This window comes from Homo sapiens, chromosome 5 (genome assembly GCF_000001405.40).
Source record: "Homo sapiens chromosome 5, GRCh38.p14 Primary Assembly".
Taxonomy (NCBI): Eukaryota; Metazoa; Chordata; class Mammalia; order Primates; family Hominidae; genus Homo; species Homo sapiens.
Genome location: NC_000005.10, coordinates 31435926 through 31460086, shown reverse-complemented (window position 1 = coordinate 31460086; position 24161 = coordinate 31435926). Strand labels below are relative to the sequence as shown.

The 24161-nt window shown below is 39.7% G+C and overlaps 1 protein-coding gene across 3 annotated transcripts in view, besides 1 other annotated feature; it reads left to right on the top strand.

The window, feature by feature from the left end:
* Positions 1-24161, top strand: part of DROSHA (drosha ribonuclease III) — a 131600-nt gene that overhangs the window by 72007 nt on the left and 35432 nt on the right. For all 3 annotated transcript variants that reach the window (NM_013235.5, NM_001100412.2, NM_001382508.1), the window contains 4 exons: positions 8447-8554; positions 10668-10806; positions 11480-11540; positions 22789-22848. In NM_013235.5, the coding sequence (NP_037367.3) occupies positions 8447-8554; positions 10668-10806; positions 11480-11540; positions 22789-22848 (368 nt within the window). The remainder of the gene's footprint in view (positions 1-8446; positions 8555-10667; positions 10807-11479; positions 11541-22788; positions 22849-24161) is intronic.
* Positions 6682-7226: an enhancer, noted in NCBI's record as "NANOG-H3K27ac hESC enhancer chr5:31452968-31453512 (GRCh37/hg19 assembly coordinates)". NCBI's record gives its function as "activates a minimal SCP1, AML or CMV promoter by ChIP-STARR-seq in primed H9 embryonic stem cells {active_cell/tissue: H9 hESC(primed)}" and the evidence as "EXISTENCE:reporter gene assay evidence [ECO:0000049][PMID:30033119]".

Genomic DNA, 24161 nt, shown 5'->3' with positions numbered 1-24161 from the left:
GTTAAATTGGTATCTTCTGTAGAGGGAGGCACCTGGACCCTATGCTATACTGAGAAGGTGGTCCATGGAAATCAATAAACTGACTCAGAAGACATGAAAAAAGGAGCAAAGAATTTGCACCATCACAGTCGCATCACCAGTAGGAGACTCATGCCAAATGCGGAGACATTGTAACTTCTTAAGGAAAAAAAAAGGAAGCACAGGTGCCTGGAGAACTGTTGGCCTTTGAGGAAAGCTGAGTTGTGGTGGTTGGTATTTGTATTGAGTGGACAGAGAGCTGTATTTGGACTAATTAATGAATATGCTGTCTTCCTAGAGTGGCCATCTGGAATGGGATGGAAGGCTGCCATGCATTATCAAACTATCTGATTCTCTTGCTCAATGATTTGTCAAGGAATGACTCAACAGTGAAAAGTAACATCTCTAGAGATTCAGAGACTTTGGACAGCAAGTTGAAGGATGTATTTTCTAAATTAGATCTTGTAGCGGGGGAAGGAGGAATGTCTGGGAGGGCAATGGCTTCATAGTTATTGTTAACAAAGGAATTTTGATTTTTAGTCTGTATGAGATACTTGATTTTTTAATTGGAGCGTAGTGCTGCTTGTGAAGAAAGGAAAGATTTGTTTAAAGGCTAACTGACCTGAGAGAGATTTTTTTTTTTTTTTTTTTTTTAAGACATGGGAGTCTTGCTGTGTTGCCCAGGCTGGAATCCAGTGGCTATTTGCAGGTGCAATAATAGTGCACTCTGGCCTTTTTGCATTGGACTCCTGGGCTTAAGCAACCCTCCTGCTTCAGCCTCCTATAGCTGGAACTACAGGTGCATGTCACCTCATCTGGCTAGTATTATATTTTATTAGGAATAATTTAAAACATACAAGATGCAAGAGAAAAGTATAATGAACTCTGAACTATCACTTAGCTTCAACTGTTTTCAGAAGCATTTCTGTAATATCATCAAATACCTAGTCAATGTTTACATTTTTCTCATTGTCTGTTAAATTTATTTTAGTCTGTTTGAATTTGGATCCATGTGAAATCTATACATTGTGATTAGTTGATGTTGTTTAAGTCTCTTTAATCTGTAGGTTCTCACTCCATTTCTCCTTTTTTTCCCTTGCAAACATTTGTTGTTGAAGAAATTGGATTATGTGTCCTGTAGAGTTCCTACAGTGTAGTCTGAGTTTTGCTGATTGCAACTTTCTGGTGTCATTTACCAGGTACTTCTGCCCCTTGTGTTTCCTATAAATTGGTAGTTAGATCTAAAACTGCACTGCCCAGTATCACTGGTTGCATGTGGCTATTTAAATTTAAATTAATTAAATGAAATTAAAAATTCTGCCTCTCAGTTGCCCTCACCACACTTTGAGTGCTCAGTAGACACATGTGGCTACTGCCCATTACAACAGCACAGATAATAGGATATTTCCATCATCATAGAGTGTTCTGTTGAATAGCACTGACCAGATTTAAGTTCAGTTTTTTTGCAAGATATTTTCATAGCTGGTGGTGAGGACTCTCTTTATTTGTACGTGACATTATTGGTCACTGATGGATCGTTATGTAGACCCAGGGTCTGCCAAAATGATATTCAAATTCTGTCTTTCTTCATTTATTACTTAAAATACTTTTGGAAAAGGATCTTTTCCTCATCAACTATTTGATTACCCTGAGATGAAGATCCTGTGGGACAGCACCAAAAATTACTCATTTGATTTATTCCATAACATACAACAAGTAGTCCCAGATTAGCAATTTAACAGCACCACCACCAATATGGTGATGGAAAATAGTTGCTTGTTTGTTTGGGAGTACAGATGGTCTTTGACTTACAATGGGGTTACATCCCAGTAAACCCGTAAACCCAGAGTAGGTTGAAAATATCATAAGATCATAAGTTGAATTTTCAGTTTATGATAGGTTTATTGGGACACAGCATATCATCAGTCAAGAAGCATACTGAATTAATATTGTTTACATGTCATTGTAAAGTCAAAAAATCGTAAGTCTTACCATTGTAAGTTGGGGACTGTCTGTGTTCATTTTTGTCTTTGATTATCTATAGCTGTATCTCACTGGGGATTTACACTCAATTTTCTGTATCCCGTGGTTATGCCACAAACTGGATACACAGAATTCATTTGTTTCATTTTACTTTTGATTTTAAGAGTTCCATTGACTGACTGACAGATTGATTGAGTCAGGGTCTTGCTGTGTCACCTAGGCTGGAGTACAGTGACACTGCGATCATGGCTCACTACAGCCTTGAACTTCTAGGCCCAACACATCCTCCCACCTCAGCCTCCCAAGTAGCTGGGACCACAGGCATGTGCCACCATGCCTGGCTAATTTTTCAATTTTTTGTAGAGATGGGGTCTAGTTTTGTTGCCCAGGCTCGTCTCAAACTCCTAGGTTCAAGTGATCCTCTTGCCTCGGCCACCCAGAGTGCTGGGATTACAGACATGAGCCACTGTGCCTGGCCTAGGTTCCTTTTAAAAATGAAAGATTGTTTTATAATTATGTAAAATGTTTACATGACTCTGCAATCAGATTTACAGGGTCAAGTGTACTTTTTTTAAGTCTAACTTCTATCTCTGTTGCTTGTATCCTTTTCTTGCCACCCACCCCGGACAGGTAACTATCTTTTAAAAATGGCTTGACCTGGCTACGCACGCAGTGGCTCACGCCTGTAATCCCAGCATTTTGGGAGGCCGAGGTGGGCAGATCACCTGAGGTCAGTAGTTCGAGACCAGCCTGGCCAACATGGTGAAACGCTGTCTCTACTAAAAATACAAAAAATTAGCCGGGAGTGGTGGTGTGTGCCTGTAGTCCCAGCTACCTGGGAGGCTGAGGCAGGAGAATAGCTTGAACCCAAGAGGCAGAGGTTGCAATGAGCCGAGATCACGCCACTGAACTCCAGCCTGGGAAACAGAGTAAGACTCCATAAAAAAAAAAAAAAAAAAAAAGGCTTAATTTCCTATTTTTATGAAAGCAAATATATATGTGTTTTTCTTTGTTTTCCTCTTTCTTGTATGAATGGTGGTATCTTACACTTTTCTCTACTGAGATTTTGTTCACTTAACAATGTGTCTGGACCAGGTGTGATGGCTCAGACCTTAAATTCCAGTGCTTTGGAAGGTCAAGGCAGGAGGATTGCAAACTTAGCCAGGTGTGGTGGTGCACACCTGTTGTCCTAGCCACTAAGGAGGCTGATGTGGAAGGATCACTTGAGCCCAGGAGTTTGGGGCTGCAGTGAGCTATGATTGTACTACTGTACTCCAGCATGGGCGACAGAGTGAAACCCTGTCTCTAAAAAACAAAACCAAACCACAACAACAACAAAACCATGTGTCTGGGAGATCACTCTGTAGTAATATATAGAGCTTATTGATATGTTTGGCTTTCTGTCTGTCAAACAGTTTTATGTTAGTGGTTACTATGAAATCCATTATATTGGCTTTGTTTTTTCCTCTTCATATCCTTTGTATTCGGGAAGGCTTGTATTTTTATTCTAATGATTACCTTTATACTGACAACTTTATAGTATAATTACATTTCTCCCTTACTTCTCTTCCTCTCTCTGTGTGTGTGTGTCTGTGTGTGTGTGTGTGTGTGTGTGTGTGTGTATCTTGTTGTCTTTTAGTAAAAATAGCTTCTCTCTGCTTCTTCCCATAATCCTCTCTCTCACCTGGCACCTAATTTGAAGTGATATCCTTTTGTTGCAAGTTAATAAGGCAGACAGCAACCTCATCCTACTCTTTATGTATTTCTTATTCTCCCCTTGTTTTCTGATGGTTGTACTAATCAATGTTAGAATGTTTAATTATTTCTTATATTGACTCACTTGTGATTATCTACCAATAAAAATATATTTGCAAGTAATCATCAGATCATGTCATTATCAATCTCCCACCTCCCCTTTTTTGTTTGTCTGAAGCTCATTTTCTAAAACATTCCTCAAGAAGGGCTTATAGAAACAGTGGTCCTTGAGTTTCTGCATGTTCCTCACAGTTTGCCTGTGGCCTTTGTTTTAACGGTCAGTTTGGCTGGATATAAAATCTGTGGATCCCATTTTCTTTCTTTAATATTTTAAATACATTCTCATTGTTTTCTGGCATAAAACATTGCTGTCAAAAGTATAACAATATGGTCAGGTACAGGTACTCACAACTGTAATCCCAGCACTTTGGGAGGCCAAGGCAAGTGCATCACCTGAGCTCAGGAGTTCGAGACCAGCCTGGGCAACATGGCGAAACCCTGTCTCTACAAAAAATACAAAAAATTAGCTGGGTGTGGTGGTGCACACCTGTGGTCCCAGCTACTTGGGAGGCTGAGGTGGGAGGATCACTTGAGCCTGGGAGATGGAGGTTGCAGTGAGCCGAGATAGTGCCACTGCACTCCAAACTGGGTAACAGAGTGAGACCCCGTCTCAAAAAAAAAAAAAAAAAGTGTGATAACAATATGAGTTTAAGTGACTTGGTCCTTTTATCTGAGTGCCCAAAGGATTTTTTCTTTTTCTTTAGAAACCAATAGTTTACTAGAATATGTCTCAGCTCTTGTCTCAGCTCTTTTCAGTTAATTTTTTCAGGTATGCTGTATATACTTTCAGTATATACTTTCAAGTTGTCTTTTATCTCAGGAAATTTTCTTTTTCTTGTATTACACGTTTCATTATTTTCTATTATTTTGATTTTTAAAGTACTCCACTTATATGCATCTTGTATTTTCTTTGCTTCTCTTCTGGATCTATCATGTTCTCTCGAATTCTTCATTCAAGAAGTAGTAATTACTTCTTGCATCTTATATCTTCTTATAAGATATATGCATCTTATATCTTTTTTGCTTCTCTTCTGGATCTGTCATTTTCTCTTGAAGTCTTCATTTCTATTTTTCAAAAGCACTATTCATTGGGCTGATATGATTTTGTGTTCCTTCTTGTTTAATCTTGAAATGCTTATCTCCTTTTATGTTTCTTTTTCCTGAGTTTTGTCACTTCTTTTCAAATCTTCCTTTCCTCTAATCTCATTTCTGAATTTATGTAATATTTATTTGTAATTTTTGTTAATCCTTCTATTGTTTTAGTAATTTCTTTTCTTATTTCGAAGGTTATTGGTATGTTTCTCTGGAATTTTTTTTTTTTTTTTTTTTTTGAGACAGAGTCTCTCTCTGTCGCCCAGGCTGGAGTGCAGTGGCACGATCTCGGCTCACTGCAAGCTCCGCCTCCTGGGTTCACGCCATTCTCCTGCCTCAGCCTCCCGAGTAGCAGGGACTACAGGCGCCCATCACCACACCCGGCTAATTTTTTGTGTTTTTAGTAGAGACGGGGTCTCACCATGTTAGCCAGGATGATCTCGATCTCCTGACCTCGTGATCCAACTGTCTCGGCCTCCCACAGTGCTGGGATTACAGGTGTGAACCACTGTGCCGGGCCTCTGGAATGTTTTTATTATCAGCAAGGATGTTATTCTACTCCTCTTCTTAGAAAAATCTTTGAATGGGATTTGATCGTGATTCTTTTCTGTTGCTGTTTAAGAAACTTAAAAATTAAATAAACCAAATGAAATAGTTTCCTGTACTTTTAGAAAGGAGGTATAAGCCAGGATAGTTTTTCATGGTTCTGGAGCTCCTCCTCCTGTTATTTTTGCAGTGATAAAAGAAATAATATGGCTTCACACTAAAATCTGCCCCCTCTGCTTTTGTCTGGGCCTCCTCTCTTTTGCCTTTCGTTTCCCTCTCTTGCGAAATGTGGCTTTCACTCCCAACACTTTCTCCTGGTTGTAGGGCTTCTACCTTGCAGGGAGCTTCAGTTTTTGTTTTTTTGTGTTTTCAGTGTTTGTAGGTCCCAGGTGTCTTAAGCATAGTTAAACTGTCCTCCCGTATTCACTCAGTGAATTAGATTCGGCAGAGCTCTCTCCAGTTTGGGTTATTTGCGGTGAACATGTGTTGTTAATTTTGAGTTTCTTCCATTATCAGGGCCTGTGCCTCTCTTCTCTCACACAGATGCTGAGACATAGCTCTTTCTCCTCATACACTCTTATTTAGGGACTCAAGAGGGTGCCTTGTCATTTAGTTTTTATGTAGATAATATTCATTGGTCTTTCATTTTGCTAGTCTAGTTGCTCTATTTTTATGGGAGAATTTGAGGGTTTTTTTTTTTTTTTAATTAAAGCAGTTGGCAGACATAAAGATGCCAGACATAAAGATGATTGTATTTTTATATTGCAAAGATTGATACTTTTAAAAACTGAGTTAGAAATTTAAAGTCTTGTAGGTAACATTGAGACTTGATGTCTGGGATTCAAGATGGACACGGGTCATCTATACCCTTCCAAGGTACTCACGAAAGGGTTATTTGGAAGGAGAAACAGGCTTTGTTTGGAGCAGGTTTAGAGGAAGTGGTTAAGGGATTCAAAGCTGTTTTACATGAGAAAAGGTTAAAGGAAGCAAGGAAGTAAAGTGTAGGTTAGCTAAAACAAGATGTGGAAAGCCTGCCATTAAATGCATTTTGTTTCTGAGTAGAACTAGGATTAAAGGGATAAAACTTCCAAAGATACAGATTTGGGCTTAAAGTTAATAGTAATTTTCGGGCCTGGCGCAGTGGCTCACACCTATGTAATCTTAGCACTTTGGGAGGCTGAGACAGGCTGATCCCTTGAGCCCAGGAGTTTAAGACCAACCTGGGCAACATGGCGAAACCTCATTTTTACAAAAAAACACAGATATTAGCAGAGTGTGGTGCTGCATGCCTGTAGTCCCAGCTACTGGGGTTTGGTGGCTGAGGTGGGAGGATCTCTTGAGCCTGGAAGGTCGAGGCTGCAGTGAGTTGTGATTGTGTCACTGCACTCTAGCCTGGGTGACAGAGTGAGACCCTGTCTCAAAAATAAAGGTAATTTTTTAATAATCAGCAAACTCTAAAGAGGGTTTTATTTTCCTGACAGGCAGCGATTCATCTCTCATAGGAAATATTAAAAAAGTAAACAATTCACCAGGTTGAGTTCATGCTTTAGAAAGGCAGTTGCACTGAATAGTCTTCATGTCCTAACCCATGTCCTATCCACCTTGAGTTTTTAGCATCAACTCTTGAGCTTCCTGCAGTTTAAATGTCTGGAAAACTATTAGACTTTGGTTGTGCATGTTGTTTCCATATTGTTGTGTTTATCAGCACAGCACTTATAAAAGCAAAGTGGATAAAGTGCCGATAATTCAAATCCTAATGGCATATTTCTAGCTTTAATGGCAAAAACAATGTCTTTACCTTTTCTGTCTTCCACACATATTGTAAGGCCTTACACGTGGAGGTGCTCAATTATATACTTACTGAATTGAACTGGCAAGAAAGATTTTTTTGTTGATTAGAGATCCTATTTGGTAGAATGAATCTTTCTTTATAAGTTAATAACATAACTAATTTCTATAGTTTCAAGCAAATCCATTTTCATGTATTTTTAAACAATACCAGCTTAAAACACTTCAAAGACTGAAATAATATAAAGCATATGTCAATCATTCTGTGGGCTGGGTCCATCCTCCAGGTTCTGATGAATAAGAATGACTCCTTACATTCTCTTGTGTTCTTGCGAAATAGTATTAAGGAAAAGAAAAAGATATGACTTCCATGAAATTATCTCCCAATAAGGAATTTATAGCCAAATGAAAAGGGATTGAAGGAAAAATTTAAATTCTGTGTCCTTGGGTACCTTAACTATACTGGTGGCTTTATAAAAATTGTCTTCAGAATGTTAGATCATTAAATGTCAAACTTAGGGTGGCATATCTGGTTGAGAAGCTCTTCAAGGATAGTCGTGGGCTTTAGGGGTTTGTGAACCCATTAAACTTGTGTACAACTTTTGCATGTTTGTGCACAGGGACATTTTTCTGGGGAAAGAGTCATTTTCCTTGGATTCCCAAAAATATCTTGACCCTAAAAAAGTTTCAGAATGAATGAATCCTAATCCATTCCCTTTTAATTAAAGATAGACAAGGAGGCACAGAAATGCATGTGACTTACTCGAAGCTACCCTGCTGAATACTGATAGAACCAGGGCTATTCCTAATGGAATGAGGGCTAACAGGCCTTGTTCTAAGAAGATTTTTGTATTTCCTCTTTTAATCCTTTTAGCTATCCTCGGAAGTAGGTATATTTATTATTCTCATTGTGCGGGTGAGGAAACTGAGGCAGAGAGGTAAGATAACTTGCCCCAGGTCACACAGTGAATGAGTGGCAGAGCAGGATTTAGACCCAGGCATTCTGATTCTAGAGACTATATACTCTTAACAGCTACAGTCTCTCACAGAGGATTCTCCAGAATGCCATGCAGCCAATAAGCTGTTTCAGGACTTAGTGAGATGGAATTTGGAATGTGAAAATGGTTCTGGCTTGTTGTAAAATAAATGAAGTGACTTTATAAGTTTTTATAAAGTTAAACATATTGAATTTTTTTTTTCCTAGCATGCAATGATGCTACCTGTTCTGACCCATCATATCCGCTACCACCAATGCCTAATGCATTTGGACAAGTTGATAGGATATACTTTCCAAGATCGTTGTCTGTTGCAGGTAAGAATTATTCTCCTGTAAACTCACATAATAACAAGATAGGAGTAATTCATCTTGCAGGTCACAAATGGTACATTGGGTTCTCTATCCTGGGATGTGACAAGGATTGTTAGAAACATAGTTCTCTCCATTGCTCTACCCTGGTTGCCTCTGCTGCTTTCCAGCCCATTCTCTTACATTTATGTGAGACCGTCCCTAAAGAAATTGACTAAAACTAAAATTTGTCAACTCTGAGTACCTTATTCCGACTTTTCCTCCTTTATGGCTCTCCTTTCCAGGTGCTGAGTATTCTAACTTCTCTGAAAGATGTAGATTTTTTTTTTCTTTTCTGGTACAGAGTTTCGCTCTTGTTTCCCAGGCTGGAGTGCAATGGCGTGATCTCGGCCCACTGCAACCTCCGCCTCCTGGGTTCAAGCGATTCTCCTGCCTCAGGCTCCTGAGTAGCTGGAATTACAGGCGCCCGCCACCATGCCTGGCTAATTTTGGTATTTTTAGTAGAGACGGGCTTTTGCCATGTTGGCCAGGCTGGTCTCGAACTTCTGACCTCAGGTGATGTGCCTGCCTTGGCCTCCCAAAATGCTGGGATTACAGGTGTGAGCCACCACGCCCAGCCTAAAGATGTGGATTTTTATGTTTGTTTGCAGAAGAGGGCTTGCGTCAGAGATCTGGAAATTCGTTTTTTGTTTGTTTTGGCCACTTTAAAATTTTTTTCAATAGATTTAGGGGTACAAGTGGTTTTTGACTACATGGATGAATTGTATAGTGGTGAAGTCTGGGCTTACCTGTCACCTGAGTAGTGTACATTACACCTAATAGGTAGTTTTTCATCCCTCACCCCCCTCCCAACACTCCCCATCTGAGTCTCCAGTGTCCGTTATACCACTCTGTATGCCCCTGGGTACCCATAGCTTAGCTTCCACTTGTGAGTGAGAATATGCGGTATTTGGTTTTCTGTTTCTGAGTTAATTAACTTAGGATAATGGCCTGTAGTTCCAACTGAGTTGCTGCAAAATACATTATTTCATTCTTTTTATTGCTGGGTAGTATTCCATGGTATATGTATACCACGTTTTCTTTATCCACTCATCCGTTGATAGGCACTTAGGTTGATTCCATATCTTTGCAATTGTGAATTGTGCTGCAATAAGCATAGAAGTGCAGGTGTCTTTTTGATATAATGACTTCTTTTTCTTTGGGTAGATACACAGTAGTGGGAGGACCGAATCAAGTGTTAGATCCACTTTTAGTTTCTTGAGAAATCTCCATACTGTTTTTCCTAGAGGTTATACTAATTTATGTAGTTTATATAAAGTTCAGTGTATTATAAGCCTTCCCTTTTCACTGCATCACACCAACACCTGCTGTTTTTTGATTTTTTAATAATGGCCATTCTCTCTGGGGTAAAGTGGTAAGTGGTATCTCCTTGTGGTTTTAATTTGCATTTCCCTAATGATTAGTGATGTTGAACATTCTTTCATGTTTGTTGGCCATTTGTATATCTTCTTTTGAAAAATGTTTGTTCATGTCATTTGCCCACTTTTTAATGGGATTATTATTGTTATTATTTTTTCTTGCTGATTTGTTTTAGTTCCTTGTAGATTCTGGATATTAGTCCTTTGTTGGATATATAGTATGCAAGTATTTTCTGCCATTCTGAAGGTTGTCTGTTTACAGATACTTGGGGAGATAAGATGGAAAGATCAGGGCTTAGAATTCAACTGGATAGACAGCTCCCTTTCCTGCTTAATTTGGGATGATACAAAGATGGTGCTCCCATGCTGAGTTTTTGTTTTGTTTTTGTTTTTTGAGACAGGGTCTCCCTCTGTCATCCAGGCTAGAGTGCAGTGGCATGATCATAGCTCACTGCAGCCTCGACCTCCTGGGCTCAAGTGATCCTCCCACCTCAGCCTCTTGAGTAGCTGGGACTCCAGTCAGGTGCCACCACACCAGCCTAATTTTTTATTTTTTGTAGAGATGGCGTCTCACTGTGTTGCCCAGGCTAGTCTTGATCTCCTGGGCTAAAGTGGTCCCTCCACCTTAGGATTACAGGCGTGAGCCACTGCACCCAGTTTATGCTGTTTTAAAGACTGAACTTATTTCATTGAAATTTTAGCTGGCCATGACTCATCCAAGTCATCATTTAAATTTTGGAATGAATCCTGATCATGCCAGGAATTCATTATCTAACTGTGGAATTCGGCAGCCCAAATACGGAGACAGAAAAGTTCATCACATGCACATGCGGAAGAAAGGTATGTCTGGATGATTTTAAGATGTGAATCTCCTATTTTGGCCTGTGTTTTCTGTTGTAAATTATTTCGCCTCTAGGAATGGTTCCCTGGGTGACTCTTTCACCGTCTCATATTCTAGTGCTTACTGACTCTTTTTTTTTTTTTTTGAGACAGGGTCTCACTCTGTCACCCAGGCTGGAGTGCAGTGGCACGATCTCAGCTCACTGCAAACTTTGCCTCCTGGGTTCAAGTGATTCTCCTGTGTTAGCCTCCCAAATAGCTGGGATTACAGGCATGTGCCACCATACTTGGCTAGTTTTTTTGTATTTTTATTAGAGACAGGGTTTTGCCATGTTGGCCAGGCTGGTCTTGAACTCCTGACCTCAAGTGATCTATCCGCCTCTGCCTCCCAAAGTGCTGAAGTTACAGACCTGAGCCACTGTGCCTGGCCCCACAGACTCTTTTATAATACTTACTTTGAGCAAGAACTATAATAAGGGTTGATGAGTTTTTTAGAGAAATTTCTTTTTCCTATCCAGTGTTTTAAATAATTGTTTATCACACTTTTAGACAGGTAGATTCCAAACCTTTTAAAATCACATTGAGATGAGATAATTTTTTTCTACTGTAATATGATGGTCCTATAATTCTTCTATCCGTATTTACTTGTGTATTTGTTTTTTATTTTAAATAGGGATTAACACCTTGATAAATATCATGTCACGCCTTGGCCAAGATGACCCAACTCCCTCGAGGTAAAGTTGATTTTTAATAAACAACCTGATTGATATATAATTCACGTACTATACAGTTTACTCATTTAAAGCATACAATTCAGTGGTTTTTAGTATGTTCACAAAATTGTGTATCCATGGCCATCATCTAATTTTGCAACATTGACATTACCCCAAAGAGAAACCCTGTACTCATTAGTAATCTCTTCCCATGTTCCTTAGCCTGCCCAATCCTAGGCAACCACCAATTTATTTTCAACCTCTATGGATTTGTCTCTTCTGAACATTTTATATGAAAGGCATCATATAAATCAGTTCTTTGTGATTGTCTTCTTTTACTTAGCATGTTTTCAGGATTTGTCCATAGTATAGTATGTGTCAATACTTCATTGTTTTTATTGCTAAATAATATTCCATGATATGGGCATATCATATTTTATGTATCTGTTCATCAGTTAATGGGCACATGGATTGTTTCCACTTTTTGGCTGGTGAATAATGCTGCTTTGAATATTTGTGTACAGATTTTGTTTGGACATATATTTTGATTTTGCTTGGGTATATACTTAGGAGTAGAATTGCTGGGTCATATGGTAACTCTGTTTAACCTTTTAAGGAACTGCCAGACTGTTTTCTGAAGTGGCTGTACCATTTTATATTCCCAGCAGCAATATAGCAGGGATCCAATGTCTTCACATTTTTGTCAACACTTGTTATTGTCTGTCTTTTTTATTCTAGCCCTTCTATTCTAGTGAATATGAAGTATTATCTCATTATGGTTTTGATTTGCCTTTCCCTCAGGGCTCATGAAATTGAGCATCTTTTCATGTGCTTATTGACTATTTGTTCATCTTCTTCAGAGAAATATCTATTCAGATCCTTTTCCCATTTTTAATTGGGTTATTCTAAATTATTGAGTTATAGTAGTTTTTAAATATATTCTCAGATACAAATTCCTTATCAGATTTGCAAAAATTTTTTTCATTCTGTGAATTGTCTTTTCTCTCTCTTGATGACGTCCTTTGCAGTACTAAACTTTTGATGAAGTTTTAGCTATTCTGAGTTTATTGCATTTCCACACGAATTTTTGGATTAGCTTGTCAATTTCTGCAAATAAGTCAGTGGGGATTTTGATAGGCATTATGTTGATTCTGTAGATCAATTTGGGAATCATTACCATCTTTTTAAAAAATGTTTATTTAAAGTGCAGTTTGTTACATAGGTAAACTTGTGTCATGGGGGTTTGTTGTACAGATTTTTTATCACCCAAGTATTAAGCCTAATAGCTATTAGTTATTATTCCTTATCCTCTCCCTCCTTTTGTTCTCCACCTTCCGAAAGGCCCTAGTGTGTGTTGTTCTCCTCTATGTGTCCATGTAACCTGTGGTATTTGGTTTTCTGTTCCTGTGTTAGTTTGCTAAGGATAATGGCCTCCAGCTCTATCCATGTCCCTGCAAAGGACATGATCTCATTCGCTTTTATGGCTGCATAGTATTCCATGGTGTGTAAGTACCACATTTTTTTTTTCGAGACAGTATCTCATTCTGCTGCCCAGGCTGCGGTGCAGTGGCATGATCTCAGCTCACTGCAACCTCCGCCTCCTGGGTTCAAGCGATTCTCACGCCTCAGACACCTGAGTAGCTGGGATTACAGGTGTGCGCCAGCATGCCTGGCTAATTTTTATATTTTTGGTAGAGACGAGGTTTCGCCATGTTGGCCAGGCTGGTCTCCAACTCCTGGCCTCAAGTTATCCATCTGCCTTGGGCTCCCAAAGTGCTGGGATTACAGGCCTGAGTCACCGTGCCTGGCCCCACATTTTCTTTATGTAGTCTATCACTGAAGGGCATTTAGGTTGATGATTACCATCTTAACCTTTTTTTTTTTTTTTTTTAAATAGAGACAGGGCTCTTGCTATGTTGCCCAGGCTTACCATCTTAATCTTAAGTTTTCTGATTCATAAACTTGGATGTCTTTCCATTTATCTGTCTTTTTAAATTTTTTCAATAATGTTTTATAGTTTTCAGAGTATACATTTTACACATCTTTTGCAAAATTTATTCTGAAGTATGTTATTCTTTTTTGTGCTGTTATAAATGGAATCTTTTTTTTTTTTTTTTTTTTGAGACAGAGTCTCGCTCTGTCGCCCAGGCTGGAGTGCAGTGGTACGATCTCGGCTCACTGCAAACTCTACCTCCCGGGTTCACGCCATTCTCCCGCCTCAGCCTACCGAGTAGCTGGGACTACAGGCGCCCGCCACCACACCCGGCTAATTTTTTTGTATTTTTAGTAGAGACAGGGTCTCACTGTGTTAACCAGGGTGGTCTTGATGTCCTGACCTTGTGATCCGCCCGCCTTGGCCTCCCAAAGTGCTGGGATTACAGGCGTGAGCCACCACGCCCGGCCTGGAATTATTTTCTGAATTTCATTTTCAGGTTGTTCATTGCAAGTGTTTGGAAATACAGTCAATTTTTGTGTATTGGTTTTATGACCTCCAACCTTGTTGCTCCTGTTCATTAGGTCTAATAGTCTTTTAGTGGATTCCTTAGGATTTTGTTATTTTTGAAATAATATCATCTACAAATAGCAGTAGTTTTACTTCTTCCCGTGTAATCCTTTTAATTTCATTTTCTTAACTTAGTTCCCCTAGCTAGAGCCTCCAGTACAATACTGAATAGAAGTATTGAGAGCAGATCTTTGTCTTCCTAATCTCAGTAGGAAGCATTCAGTCTTTCACTATTGAGGAAGATGTTAGCTGTTGGGTTTTTATAGATGCTTTTTATCAGAGTAAAGAAGGTCTCTTCTAATCTTAGTTTGCTGAGTGTTTTTATCATGAAATGGTGTTGAATTTTGTCACATGCTTTTTCTGTAGCTATTAACATAATCATGTCATTTTATTCTTTTATTCTAATTGATTTGGGGTGATAAGCCAACCTGGCTTTCCTGGGATGCCTCCCACTTGATTGTGGTGTCTCATTCTTCTCATGTGCTGCTGTATTCAGTTTGGTAGTATTTTGCTTAAGATTTGTGTGTCTGTATTCACAAGAGATACTTGTTTGTAGTTTTCTTTTCCCGTGATGTTTTGTCTAGTTTCATTATAATGGTAATACTGGCCTCATATAACGAGTTGGAAAGTTTTGTACGTTAGCTTTTCTTATTGAATTTCCTGGTTTTATGAGATACCTTCCCATATTGATATTCTCATTTATGTGTGGTCTTGAGGCCTTTGAAGAATCTGGGAATGGAATGGCCTAGGTCTGTATAAACTCATTAACACAGTTTGACAACTGAATGGAAGCAAATGCTTAATGGCTGATGAGGCTCTGGGGTTGCTTGCAAGGAGGATTATCTTTGTGTGTGAGGTACAGCAGGTTCTATTTGGAAAGCCAGTAGAGGAAACTGCTTGAGGGTGGCTTTGTTTTTAAGATGGGGAGTTGGAAAGTGGAATAGCTATGCTTATCATTCTGGGGATCCAGACTGAGATTGATTAAAGGTGGGCAGAGTTGGGCTGGAAGTGACAGAAAATCGAGGCAATTACTTCAGCTGCCCACTGGCCTCCACAAAAATTGCCAGCAATGGCTGACACGGCTTCCTTTTCCAATATCTCCTTCATATATCAGGTTTTTAAAAAATTGACTTGCCTTGAGTTGTTCTCTTTTGAGGTTATCAGAAACCAAACCTCTTCAATCAAGAGGTAAAAAGAAAAGCAGGACAGAGCTTTAAAATTCTTGTTTGAAAATGATCATATGCCCATATACCTCACTATGATGTTCTGTGAGAGTCTAAGATCAGAAAAGAATGAATTAAAACAGCCCTTAATCACACCCTCGGGGATGGTGTGACCATGGTTTTATTTTACCCTGCTACATTGTAAAGTCTGTATTTTAATAAGTAGAATTCTATATACCCATAGCCCTCTAACATGGCTGCATGAACACCATAGACATGTACTTTTCAATGATGAAAATCTGGGTTTAAATCATCTTTGTCTCATCTTCCCCTACCGCAGTTGTTGGTATGTAAATTGTCTTTTGATAATGTCATTTGAACCCCATGATTTATGTTTTCTTTTGCTCTGTTACAAAGTAGTGGCTTTCTTACCGTGGCAGAAGGGATGATACCTGAGAAACTGTGTGATGTTTGAATTTACCATTTTGAAAATGATATTATTGACAGAGAATAAACAAATAATCTCTCTTGTCCTTTGACATTTGGCCTTTGCTGCTTGTGTTGAGAGCCTCTTTCCTTGAATATGATCTTTTTGCTGATGCAGAGTTGACCCCAAGTGTCTGTTCAGAAAGAGCCTCTTGGCCTTGACTGCCAGGATCTGCTGCTAGTTGACTGCTATCAGCTATCAGTCCACAGCTGGGCACAGCTTCTCACAGGGACTGACCCAAGTAAGACAGAGCTACTTACCTGGGTTGTCAAACATACCCTGTCCCTTCCCCGTGTGCTGATCGTCATTGTAAAACTTCCTCTGTCGTGCCCATGTAACCTTGTAATATCCTGCTCAAATCCTGCTGGTATTTGTTTTATGGAACGTATTCTTGTTCTTATGTGCACCCATAATTGTGTTATGGGGCTATTTTTCTTTACTGGACTGTAAGATTTTGAAGGGCTATGGTCCTACCCATGTTTTTTCTCCCTGTTCTTTGTAACTAGTGCCTTTCACAGAACAGGTACTCAGTAAATAAGTATTAAAGGAAGGAATGCCATTCGTCACACTACTTTTATCCCAGGCTATTTACTTATTGACTAGAAATAGGGCAGCGGGGGGATCAAGAAGGGTTACGGTCAGCAGTTTAAATGGCTGGGTAGTATCTTTCTTAATCTCAGTTGGGATGGGCTAGGGTTTACAAAAAAGGCATGAAGCCTTAAAATTAATAAATAATTCTTGATAGCCTGGCTGCCCATGAAAACTACAAAATAATTAACTTTTATGATGCTGTTATCTCAAGCAAATATGCCACCCATAATTTTTAAAATGTCACTGTTTAACCACCTAAATCTGAGCTGAATAGTTATATTTAATTCATTCATGCAAATTGTGATGAACTGTTAGCACAAAAAGGGTGTCTGAAGGATTAGGCATTTGGTGGATTCAAGTAATCGACGTATTATCAGTAAGACCCTTGGGAAGGAGGGACCAGAAGAGTAGCAATGGAACAAAGGGGAAAACCAAGCTGCCTTGGTTTGATTTGATTTTTTTTTTCTTTTGGAGAGTCATTGCTACATATAATGCATAAAAATCTCAGCCAGGTGTGGTGGCTCACACCTGTAATCCCAGCACTTTGGGAGGCCGAGGTGGGTGGATCACCTGAGGTCAGGAGTTCAAGTCCAGCCTGGCCAACATGATGAAACCCTCTCTACTAAAAACACAAAAATCAGCGAGACATGGTGGTGGCCTCCTGTAATCCCAGCTACTCGGGTGGCTGAGGCAGGAGAATCACTTGAACCCAGGAGGTGGAGGTTGCAGTGAGCCAAGATCATGCGACAGAGTGAGACTCTGTCTCAAAAAAAAAAAAAAATCTATCGGACCAACAGAGACACATATGGACTATTTGTTAATGTCTCTATATTTAAGGAAATGGCAGTTGCAAGTATATTTTGCATTAAAAGCACAATAATATATATTAAATATATGTAAATTCCATCACCCTAAATGCTTCAAGTTAAATTCCCAAGTCCAGTAGATCTGAGATCTACTGGATCTCAGATCTCCTGGGTCTGTGGCCTGTCCTCCCTACAAGTGTCCAGGCAGATGCAGTGAGGTGAAGGAATCCTAAGTTGGGTAGAAGTTCCCACTGACCTCCAAGGCACCCTCTAGCCCTACTCTGTGAGTCACTGCTTGAGGCTTGGGATGCCAGAGTGCGAAAGATTCTGTGTACCCTCACTGGATTTGGCCTATCCCAAGATGGCTTTCCTTGGAGTGAATGGCACCTTACAGTACTTACTGTTACAGGGAGACGGTTGTGTTTTATAAAGTGCATTGAATTCCTCAGACAAAATGTGCTGTATAAATGTTACAGTTAATCTAGATTTCATAATGCCTCTGTTGATTCACTTCTTAAAAACAAATGGAGTGTTTACTGCTCAGTAAACATCTCATCTTGGATCCTGCTAGTATTTATAAAGAGGGTGATTAAAGAAAGTCTAAACAATGAAAGAAGGAACAAAAGATTTGCTACTGCTGTGAGGACTAGCAGCCCACTCTTCCCATTTTTCCAGATAAACCGTTGGCTTAGGAATTGTAGAGTATAATAATAAACTAAAGTGGTATTTAATCCCCATTCTTATTTATGGCTTATTGCCAGAGTTTAGTCATAATGTAGATACAGAAAAACATATGTTGGATTTGGGCAAATTATTTAATAAATGGCAGACTCTCTGTTGAATAAATCTGTTTAGAACCATGACCTTGTATTTCAACAAAATGAATAATAATCCAACTTTGTGGTTATTAAAACCTTAGATGTAGTTTTTGTCTCCATGAAAGTTTATAAAAGAAATTAAGGTAAAACTTATGCCAATATGACTTCAGTTAAAATAGTATATGACTTCAAGCATATACTAAATATGACTTATTGTCATGTTTGACTAAATGTCTTATTATTCTTTAAAAATGCATTAGACATCCAAATATGGTTTGTCCCCAGCTCCTTTGTCCCCAGTTTCTTGCTTTCCATGTGAAGATTTTTCTGTATAGTACTTTGCACTATTAGGAAGAAGATAAAGCCTGTGCCACAGAAAATGCATTTTTATTTTACTGGCTCATGAAAAAGAATTTATTTCTTAAAACTCACTATTTCTTTCTTATTTCTATCCTTACCAGGACAGCAGCTTAATAGGTTTCTTGAAATTGCAGGAGGACTTAGGAGTTAACATTGTCTTACCATTAAATCATGCCTCTATTCCTTGATGTTTTCTCCAAGAATGATGGCAGATGCTTTTGAAGTTCTGGTGTATTTGACAGAAAGCAAAATCTCAGTATTGAAAAGTTTTGAAAATTTTTTTTGTTAATATAATGTGTCATACTCCACTGTGGAACTTTTGAGTCACTCTTGGCTAGTGGAGTAGCGACAAAAAAAAGTCCTTTAAAGTCTAGCATATATTTGGTAAAAATAAGAAAAGTTTGTCTTAGGACCTACTACTTTTTTTTTGAGACATGGTCTCCCACTGTCATCCAGGCTGGAGTGCAATGGTACAATCATAACTCACCGCAGCTTTGACCTCCCAGGCTCAAGTGATCCTCCTACCTCAGCCTCCAGAGTAGCTGAGACTACAGGCACGTGCCACCACACCCAGCTCATTTTTAAAATTTTTTGTACAGACAAGGTCTTACTTTGTTGCCTAGGCTGGTCTTGAACGTCTGGCCTAAGCTGTCTCCCACCTCAGTCTCCCAAAGGATTACAGGCATGAGCCACACCTGGCCTGCCCTTTTTTTTTTTTTAAACTAAATTATGAGATTATGAATTTGTCAGCTAGACATGAATGTATTTTCTCTTTCTCTCTCTCTTTTTTTCATTTCCCATTATTGGCTATTACAGTTGAGTATCCTTTATCTGAAATGCTTGGGACCAGCAGTGTTTCAGATTATTTTTGGATTTTGGAATATTTGCATATAGTGAGATATCTTGGGGATAGGACCCAATTCTAACTGAAATTCATTTATATTTCATATATATCTCATACATAAGAAATATATATAAGATGGCCTTGAAATCGCCTTGAAAACCAGATGGGTTTAGACTCACATAGCCTGAAGGTAATTTTATACAATATTATTAATACTTTTGTATAGACAAAGTTATGATTGCAAGCTGTCACATAAGGTCAGGTGTGGAACTTTCCACTTGTGCCATCATATTGACACTGAAGAGTTTCAAATTTTGGAACACTTTGGATTTTGGGTTATGGTTGCTTAACCTGTAATTGCTTTCCAGAGTGATGTTTTCACATAAATTAAAGGCCATAAATTGAAAGGAGGGTTCAGAATCACTTATTCATTGTTCACAACCTAGCAGATTTTTCCTATTACCTTTTATTTCCTGTAAAATTCCAAAATGTGGAGGAATAGTAGGGTAGAAGAATAAACTTACTAATGCGATAAGTGAAATGATAGCAGTTGTGCTTAAATTTCTAAGTAGATGATTTTGTAGCTAAGAATAATTTACAAATATTTTAAATTTTCTACTATATATGGAAACTATAGGGATACTTTAAATATGGAAATTAAACTGGCACACATGAAACAGAATAATACAGATATGATCTAATTTTGTTGTAAACGAAGTGATAAGTGTTGAAGTTTTATGGAAATGAGGGTGGGATGGTGGGAGTTAGCCCGCACCCCTGGCAGCTCCAGTACTTAGGGTCGGCCTCCCAGTTGACTGTAGGAATGAGTGCAGTTTGGGAGAGGTAGCAGGGAAGGGAGAGGGGATGGTGTGTGCATGGTACAGTTGTGCAGGTTGATCAACATGGACTTGAAAGTTGCTAGTTGATAAAAGAGGGGTGGGTATGATGAAACTAGATAAAGAATGGCCTTGAAAGCCAGATGGGTTGAGACTCGACAGGCAGCTGTTGAATTATTTGGGGAGATGTGGGTTGGTGTCAGAGAGATTTAAGAAAGCCCCTGTAGTTAGTGAGGCCAGCTTCTGCTCATGCCCAAGCCTGTCCTTTGCTGTCTTTGCTCAGGCCCCATGGGCTCTGCGTGTCCTCCTTCCCTCCTCAGTGCATCCCTTTGGTTTTTCTCCCCTTGTACATCCCCAAACTCATATTTTCTCTTTCAGCAGCCAGCCTTGAAATAGACATTAAGGTTCTTTTCATATTTAGTCATCCCTCCCCATCCTTCCAACACCTCTAGTGAGTGCATAAAACCAAAGATAGTACATAACCCTTTATGTACTATGTTTTTTCCTACACATACGTACCTATTATGAAGTTTAAGTTATAAGTTACACACAGTAAGAGATTAACAGCAACAATAATAGAATAGTTATAACAACATGCTGTCTGTACACCAAACCCCATGATATGCAGCTTACCTATGTAACAAACCTGCACAGGTACCCCTGAACCTAAAATAAAAGTAAAAAGTAAATAAATAACAGTATGCCAGCATCATGACTCTTGTGCTTTGCGACCATTATTAAGTAAAATAAGGATGACTTGAACATAGGCACTGAGATACTATGACAATCGATCTGGTAGCCCACATGGCTACTAAGTGACAGCATAGAGATACTAGAAAAAGGGATTATCCCAGGTGGAATAGGGTGGGACAGCACAGGATTTTACCATATGTTGAAGAACAGCATGCAATTTAAAACTTATGACTTGTTTATTTCTGAAATTTTCCACTTAATATTTTTAGATTGTGGTTGGCCAGGGGTAACTGAAACAGTGGAAGGTGAAACCATGGGTATGGGAGGGCTGTTGTACAATTCCATACAACTTATCATTTCTCCAGCCTACTGTACTCCCATGCAGGTTTGTCTCCACCACTTCACAGATAGCCTATCAAGGGCCTCAGTGACTTCACAGGACTGAATTAGTGGTCTGTTCTCATCTGACTTGAATCTAAGCAACATTGGGCATGGCTTACCACTTCTCTCTTGAAACACATTCTTCCCTATGGCTGGAGGATACCATGCTGTCCTTGAGGACAGCATACTGGCTTCGTTTTCCTCCTACCTCCCTGGCCAGGTCTTCTTTTCTGGCTTCCCTCCTGCTTGACTTCTCAACTTCGGCACTCCCTGGGTTCGTTCCTGGGAACTTTTTTTCCCTCTGGCTGCATCCTCTCAAGTGGTGTCATATAATTCATCACCTGAAATTCTGTCTAACATTGACTAACCCTAAAGATTCATTAGCAACTGTGTCCTAGCCCATGAGCAGTAGGTTAATATGTAGCACTCTACTGGATCTCTCCATTTGGATATTTGATGGGCACTTTGAAGTTAACATGTCCAAAATGCACCTCTTGCTTTTCCCCAAAACCTGCTTTCCTTTTGGTCCTCCCCTCCACAGTAAACGGCACCACTCCTCACAAGCTACTTAAGCTAAAGCCTAGCCATTGACCTTCATTCTTTTCTTTCACTTAGCTTCCAAATCCCAGCGCCAGCTATCAATACTTATTTTCAGCTGTGTCTCCAAAATGCATCCCAAATGTGACTGTTTCCCTCCTCTCCACTGTGACCTCCCCAGCCTAAGCCTCCCATGCAGGAAAGTCTCCTTGCATCTGCTGCAGCCTCTCCACAGTGCTTCTCTGTCCTGCACTCAGTGTCTACACAGCAGCCAGTGTGGCCTGTTGAAAACCTAAATCACTTCATGTCATGTCTGTGCTCAACCAACGGGGCAGTGAGAGAAGCACATTAGTACTGAGAGAGGGTGCTCCATTGGCTTCACTGAGACACAGGAGGAGGTTTTCCGTGGGCCACCTTCTTGGTCATTTCAGCCTTGTATGTGAACATGAGAAAATAACAGCCTGTGGGATATGACTTCATCATATAATTAAAGTCTAAATAAAGTGTGATCTGTGCACTGAGGGAGAAGTATTAATTTTGATGAGGGGCATCGGGCAGGGCTTCATAAAGAAGATAACATTTTTGCTAGGCCTTGAGGGGTGAGTAGATTTTCAGTGTGGCTCATTGTATGCGAGAGAGTGGAAGGCTCTAGGGTGGCAGGGAGCTTGGCCTGAAGAGGCACACTGAGTGTCTTAAGTGATGCCTCTTTCAGAGAGTGCCAGGCAGTTTTGGAGCAGGGCCCAATGAGTAGATAGGATAGGGTAGGAGTGGGTAATGAGACTGAAAACGTAGATTACACTTATTTTGAAGGACTTCAGATGCTGGGTTGAGTTTAGAGTTGGAGTGATGGGGAACTGTCTTTAGGACATTGTATCAAAATAGATTTTTCAGTGGTCAGAAAATCCACTGAAGGCATTCTTCTTTATGTCTTCTACCTGATAGTAGTATGGAAATACTCACGATTGTTAGTGAGATATCACCTTGAAGGCTGTGGTTCCCAGGGGAAGGAAGCCCCCTGGTAGAAAGCCTGACCCCCGTGATATGAAGGAATGCACCCCTCCTTCCCATTAGGCAGGTGCCAGATGCCTCTAGGCTAAGATGGTGGTCTGTGCTCTTAATTATGAGGAATAGGGAAGGTGGTTTGATTACTAAAGGAGCTAACCCTCATGTGTTCTTTTCTTGCGGGGGTGGGTGGGTGGGGGGGAGTGTTAATATGCTGTATTAAGTAACCTTTTTAATTCCTATTGTAGGATTAACCACAATGAACGGTTGGAATTCCTGGGTGATGCTGTTGTTGAATTTCTGACCAGGTAATTAGGCTTTTTTGTTTTTTACAATTCCTCAATAATTACATTTTATAGGTAACATACTTATTACATTGCTTTCTTTGTAATTAGCCAAATAAGGCATTGATACACCGTGTATTTTATCTCTTTTGTAGAGCTTAGAAGCCACATGTCTGTGGCCCTTGCCCTGATAACTGGCACTCACTGATGCTGTAATGAGTGAGATTACAAGATGAAAGGCTGGTGTCTCTGTCCTGTCAAGTATATGTTAAAGTTGCTTACAGCCACAAGAGATCAGCTTGCCTTGGTCTAGATGCTTCAGAGCTTATGTTCAATTTGTAAAGAAAGGGATGATATTTTAAAATGTCATTTCATCTTCTAGGATTTGTCTTTGATCCCTTTCTTACTCTTTCTGATCTCAAGGGAAGTAAAGCTTACAAGTAATTTTAATGACCAGATTTTCTAGTGTGTGTGTGTGTGTGTGTGTGTGTGTGTGTGTGTGTGTGTGTGTGTGTGTGTGTTTCTCTCCAGAAGTGTTTTAGGATCCTTAATTTGAAAGTACGGGTAGGACGCTAGGCGCGGTGGCTCACGCCTGGAATCCCAGCACTTTGGGAGGCCAAGGCGGGTGGATCACCTGAGGTCAGGAGTTCAAGACCAGCCTGGCCAACATGGCGAAACCACATCTCTACTAAAAATTCAAAAATTAGCCAGGTGTGATGGTGCATGCCTGTAGTCCCAGCTACCTGGGAGTCTGAGGCAGGAGAATCACTTGAACCTGGGAGGTGGAGGTTGCATTGAGCTGAGATTATGCCACAACACTTTAGCCTGGGTGACAGAGTGAGACTCTGTCTCAAAAAAAAAAAAAAAAAGGAATAGGGGCAGGAAAGTGTTTTGCTTTTCTATACTGACACAATTTCTCTTTTAAAGGGAGACAATACATGCTTCTCTTGGAACTCTCTTGAGCTGTTTTTATTCTCTTTAGGTTATTTCTTTTCACAAGATGGACATAATCAGGAGAAGGGACTCCTCTCTCCAGGGGCCACACGTAACACAGCCCAAGGAAAAGCATTTGTTTCACTCCCAATTTTTAGTATTAATGTGTTTGCTCTTAGAGTGTGTAACTGATTATTCTGCTCTTTGTTGTCATCAGATTTCAGAGAAATCTTTTAACAGAAATAAATGTGAAAATACAAGTGAATGGTGCTGTCTGGGTTTTAGCACATTCAGATATACTGTTCTTACCATTTAACTTTCAAAGACTTTAATCAGATCCTTTAGTTTGATTCACCTGATATCCATTGCACAGCTACTGTGTGCCAGCCCTGTTTCTGTGACTC